A 6,590-nucleotide genomic window follows, 5' to 3' on the forward strand; every position below is an offset into this window, starting at 1 on the left:
CATTCCAGATTTAGCCCAATCTTGCAAGTTTGCAGGAAGAGAAACTTGGCTGCAGAGAGGGAAATGACTTGCTCAAAGTCAAATAGAGATTCAGGGCAGAGTCGAAGGTAGAAGTTGGGATGCTGTGGCTTTATTACAACAGACCAGGAGGCCGCACAGTCACCAACAGACTGTATTTCTCTCAACCTCTTAAAGAGGAAGCCCACTCCACAGATCCCTAGGAGGTCAAATACCCTCATGATACCCTCTCCTTTTCCTCTTCCCAGCATTTTTTTTATCAAATTTACCTAGGTCTTTTCTTTCCTGCATTAATGGTGGAACAACACACTGCTGGAACTTTCCTAGAGAAGAATTTGGCAGCTTGTATCAAATGCCTTAAACATCAATTCTCTTGCTTGAAATATATATATAATTTATCTCAAAAACATAAGGGACAAATGCCCAAAAAGAATGTACATCATGGTATTGGAAAGAATAAAATAAAAAACAGCCAGTAATTTATTTTAAACATTATAAAATGAGATTTGTATTAACACAAAAGATGATGACAGTATTTTTTAGTAAGAAATACAATTTTTCGGCCGGGCGCGGTGGCTCATGCCTATAATTCCAGCACTTTGGGAGGCCAAGGCGGACGGATCACGAGGTCAGGAGATCGAGACCATCCTGGCTAACATGGTGAAACCCCATCTCTACTAAAAATATAAAAAATTAGCCAGGCGTGGTGGCGGGCACCTGCAGTCCCAGCTACTCGGGAGGCTGAGGCAGGAGAATGGTGTGAACCTGGGAGGCGGAGCTTGCAGTGAGCTGAGATCGTGCCACTGCACTCCAGCCTGGGCGACAGAGCAAGACTCCATCTCAAAAAAAAAAGAAAGAAAAGAAATACAATTTTTCAAACAGTATGTGTAGTTTGGTGTCATTTTTGTAAAGAATAAATATTGACAGACATATACATATCCAGGGTTGCCATACACAGTTGCCCAGGCTGTGAAATGGATTACTATGGCCACTCAGAATTTGACATGTATGGTGGCTTCCAGAGTCAGGGAATGCAACAACCCTGCATTTAGCTTAGAAGAATTGAAAGGTTATTTGCCAAAATAGTAATAGTGGCTATGGGGGAGTATGGAGGGTGAGTGTGTAATTATTGCCCTAATTTTCTAGTATTTCTATAATGAACATGGCTCACTTGGGTAAACATAAAGTAGTAGCCCTTTCAAAGCACTTTCCTGATTATAATCTACTTATTACATGTCCTGGCTTACTCAATTACATATCCTGGCTTACTTTGGGGTGTGTGTGTGTGTGTGTGTGTCTGTCTGTGTGTGTGTTATGATATTAACCAAGAGTTGATGGAGGACTTATGAGTGCCAGGCACTGTGCTAGGGATGCAGTCCCAGGCTTCATGAGTTTCAAATCTAATGAGACCCCAGGAAGGCATCCTTTGGGATGTTCTGTAAGGTATATTATGGGAAGCCTGGCCTTCCCAATAGATCAAGCATCTGGGGGAAGATACTGTGCCTTGTCAGTATCCTTAGATCACAGAACTGAGATGCCCACACACACTGCAATGGAAGCTGGGGCCAGCTAGTTTCTAGCATGCAGCGGCAGTGAGAACATTGAGCCTCAGTCTCCAGAAGATCCATGACACTCAGAATTTAATCCCTGAGATCTTTGAAGCCAGAGCACCTGGATTTGAAACCAGACAACCGAACCTCCACTTCCTCATCTGTGAAATGGAGAGAATCACAGATCCTTAACTCCTGAAGTTTAAAAGAAGTAAGACTCACAATGCACAATGCCTGGCTTAGAGGCAATGTTCAGTTGATGGTAGAGATTATTATGTATTGTTATGATGATCATATCTGAGCCTCAGCTGATGAAGGGTCTAGACAGAAGCCCCATCCAGCCCTTCAGGACAGGGCTGGAACAGGATCAGAAAGAAAGCAATTTTCCAAGCTGGAGATCTCCAGTTGCCCTGGCCATGGACAGCAGGGCTGGCCCAGAGGACGGGCGCAGCTGCTGGCAAGAAAAGTGACATACAGCTTTGTCAGGTTCACTTCTCTTTGTTCCCCCCTCTCTGCTTCAGGTCCCCAAGCATTCAGCCCCAGGTCTTTTTCTCTGTAGACGACAGCTCGTTTCCTCTGGGGAAACTGCAATCAGTGTATCTAAAACACCCACCGCCCTTTAAGTAAAATGGAGGTGATCTGAACGGGTCTGAGAATTGGCGACTCTCTTCCTTGGCCTCCACACGCTTTCTTCTAGGCCAAGAATCTCCCAGTTTCCCCCTGAGAATGAATCACAAGCCTATTCCTGAATAAACAGAGCTGGACTCAGAGTTGGAAGTCCTGGCTTTCAAGCCCAGCTCTGCTATGTGACTAAGCAAGTTCCCCCATCGTGGGTCTCAGTTTTCCACCTGTACATGGAGGATTAGATAAAAAGTCTCTTTTTATTTTTTTGGAACAGAGTCTCACTCCATCACCGAGGCTTGGGTGCAGTGGCGCAATCTCACAATCTCGGCTCACTGTAACCTCCGCCTCCCAAGTTCAAGCCGTTCTGGTGCCTCAGCCTCCTGAGTAGCTGGAATTACAGGTGCGCACCACCACGCCCAGCTAATTTTTGTATTTTGAGTAGAAACGAGGTCTCACCATGTTGGCCAGGCTGGTCTCGAACTCCTGACCTCAAGTGATCCACCTGCCTCAGCATCCCAAAGTGTTGGGATTACAGGCATGAGCCACTGCGCTCGGCCTGCTAGATAGGATGTTTCTACAGGTTCTTTCAGCTTTGACAGTCTTACTGACATTGCACCAGTTGTGACTTCAGACAAGCCTTGGTGTTTGATGTCTCCCTCCCTGCATCCTGGAGCCGTTTCCTTTTCAAGCCTCAGTGCCTTTGCACAAACCACTGCACCTTTCAAAGTATGCCTTTCGCAGGTAGGGCTCCCTTCCCTGTCCCCTAAACAAGACTCAAACCACCTTAGCCTGACAGTCTTCCCTGAACAACCATGTGCTCACAGCTCCCAGATGGCAAGCCCATTTTACCCCCAGCCCTGAAGACCACCTCCCCACAGCTGGACCCCATGATACTCCTGTGCTGAATGTCCAGGCCCCTGGAACCCACCAAGTGCCTTGTCAAGCCCCAGTGCTTGAGACCACCTCTTCTTAGGACTTGATTGACCAAGAAGATGGAGTCATTCACTCACTCAATGAGCATGCACCCAGCCTCCAGGATGTGTTAAGGTCTCTGATGGATGCTAGAAATGCAAAGGCGAGTGAAGCCCAGACTCTGTCTCCAAGGAATCACAGCCTGGGGCAGGACAGCAACAGGAAAGCAGATCATTTCAATGTATTGTGGCTTTCCAGGCAGAAAGGGCAAGGGGTTGCAGGTTTGAGGTATGAGAGAGAAGGGAACATTCAAGGAGACGGAAGGTGGTTTGGTCTTGAGAGAAGTGAGATATCCAGAGGTGGGCGGGGCTGGGGTGGGCGGGGCCTGGAGGGTAGGGAGGGGCATTTGTGGGCGGGGCCTGGGAGGTAGGGCTGGCAGTGGACGGGATCTGGTCCTGTAGATCCTCACGGGCTTTAGTGAGAAGCTGGGGCCCAAGAACCAAGTCCTTCCAAGAAGAAGGACTTTAAGCAGGGTGTAATCTGCATTTTGAAGAGGTACCTCTGGCTGCTGGGTGGAAGATAAGTTACAGGAGCAAGAATGACCTTAGGGAGGCCATAGTAGTCATTGAGGAGAGAGAAGATGGTGATCCTAAGGGAGTGGCGGCAGTAGGGTGGGGAGGGGCAGGACAGATTCAAAAGAGATTTAGTTGGAAGAATCTTAAGGCTTTGAGGTGGTCGTGACTGTGGGTAAGGGGGAGAAGAGTCGAGGGGGACTCCAGGAAAGACTGAGGTGGCCCTGCTATGTGTGAGACAACCCCAGAGGAGAGCCAGGTGGGTGATGGTGAGCTCGGTTTGGGACGTGGTGAGTTCTAGATATCAAGTGCCCACAGCTAAACACATAACCAATGTTCCAATAGAAAAACAGAAAAATTGAAAATCACATTGGTCAGATGACCCAGTAAATGAAGGACTAGAGAATTGACATTTGCAGCAGAAAATAGGTCAGGAGGTGTGAAATGCAGGTCCCCAAAGCAGCTGTTGAAGCCCAGAAAACTAGCCAGGATGCCCTCATTTACCCAGAGACTGCTGCCATTCAGAAGACACAGTGGCCCAAGAACCAGAAGACCTGGGCAGCGTTGGGCCAGCCACTGGCTGATTGTGTCAGCTCGGGCAAGTCCCTTAGCCCTCTGAGCCGGGTGGGGTTGCTAGAAGGGTCAGAAATAAGACTGTGTAGGTGAGAGAGAGCAAGACAGACAGACAGACAAACTTTCTCAGTGGAAAAAATGAAAAATGCTGGGCAAATTGTGCCAGCTATGGGTATCAATTTTATAGCTTATCCCACAGTGCCCAGACAGTGCCCCTGCCCAGCCAGTGCCCTAGACCAACAGCCCCCAGGCACCCAACTTGCTTGGCACTTCTCTTTGAAGAGCCTTCTTGGCCTCCCTGATTCGATCCCTGAAGATGTCTTGAGTCTGCATTTGCTGAGGAATTGGAGGAAAATCAACGTGAACAATGTAGTCAAAACAGTGTCGGCAGGCGTCGCGCTGGGCCAGGAGTGAACATTGCCGGGGACTCGATTGTGCCCCTTGTCTAGCAGTTTGTTCTCAAAAGTGAGCTCTAGCCTCACTGCGAACCCAGTAAGTCTTTCAGCTTGACTGGAAACTTCACATTTTTCCTCTTTAGAAAAATGTCACCGACATTCCTCTGTTTCGTTACTCTTGGTTGCGGCTGCTCTGGCCGTAGGGAAATTGCTCAGAGGGGAAGCTGCCTATACCAGCCACCACCGCCAGACCAGGCCCCAGCTGGCTGTGGTCCCAGGCTCCTGCTGGACGTGGCCTTCGCTTGCCTTGCCTGTGACCCCCCTCCCTGGGCTGGCACTGCCTCAGCTCACAGGCTGCAGTCCCCAGAAGCTGCCCAACTCCTGCCTCCCCATAGCAGGCCCGGCAGGTGTCCCCCCCACTTGCCTCCCCTCCCCCAAGGCCTCCTTGCCATTGGACCAGGTACCCTCAGCCAGGCCCTGACCGTATCTCACCAAGTCTGTCTCTCTCTGTTTCCCCCTTTTATGTCTCTGTCTCTTTCCCCTTCTTTCTGCACTTTTCTGTCTTTTTTATATCTCTGTCTGTTTTTTCATTCATCTCTCCATTTAGGTTATCAGCAAACATTTATTGAGCACCTATTTGACAGGCTGTGTTCCAGAATCCAGGGATATAGCAGTGAGTAAGACAAGGTCCCAGAACTAATGAGGCAGACAGTAAATAAAGAAGCAAATAGACGCATGCAGATTGTATTTTATAAAGCTGGCCACAACAATATCTTCTGCCTCTTACGTTCAAGAGGTGGACCCCTTATCCCCATTCTTTTGAAACTGGGCAAGCCTTTATGACTGCCTGACAAACTGAGTATTTTACTTCCAAGGCTGGATCATAACAATGTCATTTACTTCCACCTTATGCTTTCAGCCTCCATGCTCTGAGGAACCCCAAGCAGCTCATGGAGAGGCCCACATGGAGGGGAAGAGGAGCTCCCAGCCAGCATTCAACTTGTCAGTAACGGAAGTGAACCATCTTGAAAGGGGATCTTCCAGTCTCCAATCAAGCCCCCAGCCCACACTGCTTGGAACAGAGAAGCCGTCCATGCTGAGCCCTATTCAAATTATAGATTAATGAGCCAAATAAATGATTGTTGCTGTTTTAAGCCACTAAGTTATGGGGTAGTTTGCTACACAGCAACGGATAACTGGAACAGCATATGAAATAGGCATAGTAATGAGTGCTAAAAAGTGCTAGAGTGCTAGAAAAATCAAGGCCAGGCGCGGTGGCTCATGCCTGTAATCCCAGCACTTTGGGAGGCTGAGGCAGCCGGATCACGAGGTCAGGGGTTCGAGACCATCCTGGCTAACACGGTGAAACCCTGTCTCTACTAAAAACACAAAAAATTAGCCGGGCATGGTGGTGGGTGCCTGTAATCCCAGCTACTCAGGAGGCTGAGGCAGGAGAATTGCTTGAACCTGGGAAGTGGAGGTTGCAGTGAGCCAAGATAGCACTATTACATTCCAGCCTGGGCAACAGTGTGAGACTCCATCACAAAAAAAAAAAAAAAAAGAAAGAAAGAAAAAGAAAAAAGAAAAAAAAGAAAAATCAAGCCAGGTGAGGAGGTAAGGGCAGTAAAGCAGGGAGGTAGCCACCTACTCCTGCCTTAGGCTTGAGATTATTGGATTAATCACCAACCCCCTGGACATGCTGGGAAGAAGAGGTCTTAGAGACAGTCCCTCTCCCAGGGTGGGAATTCCAACCACAAGGCCCCCCAGCTGCTGTTTGCACACTTCCAGTGATGGAGAGATCATTCCCTGCCCAGGCAGCCCTACTGAACAGCTCTGGCTATGAGAACAGGCTCCCTGCACGCCCTCTGGGGCCATGTGGACACATGACCGGAACACGTGTCTCCTAACCACCTCTAGCCTCTCCTGCATCCATGGTGGTCCTTACA

At 48.7% G+C, this 6,590-nt stretch overlaps 2 annotated features.

Moving 5' to 3' along the window:
• Positions 4,416–4,933: an enhancer, noted in NCBI's record as "H3K4me1 hESC enhancer chr22:27999453-27999970 (GRCh37/hg19 assembly coordinates)". NCBI's record gives its function as "activates a minimal SCP1, AML or CMV promoter by ChIP-STARR-seq in naive H9 embryonic stem cells {active_cell/tissue: H9 hESC(naive)}" and the evidence as "EXISTENCE:reporter gene assay evidence [ECO:0000049][PMID:30033119]".
• Positions 4,934–5,449: an enhancer, noted in NCBI's record as "H3K4me1 hESC enhancer chr22:27999971-28000486 (GRCh37/hg19 assembly coordinates)". NCBI's record gives its function as "activates a minimal SCP1, AML or CMV promoter by ChIP-STARR-seq in naive H9 embryonic stem cells {active_cell/tissue: H9 hESC(naive)}" and the evidence as "EXISTENCE:reporter gene assay evidence [ECO:0000049][PMID:30033119]".

This window comes from Homo sapiens, chromosome 22 (assembly GCF_000001405.40).
Source record: "Homo sapiens chromosome 22, GRCh38.p14 Primary Assembly".
NCBI lineage: Eukaryota > Metazoa > Chordata > Mammalia > Primates > Hominidae > Homo > Homo sapiens.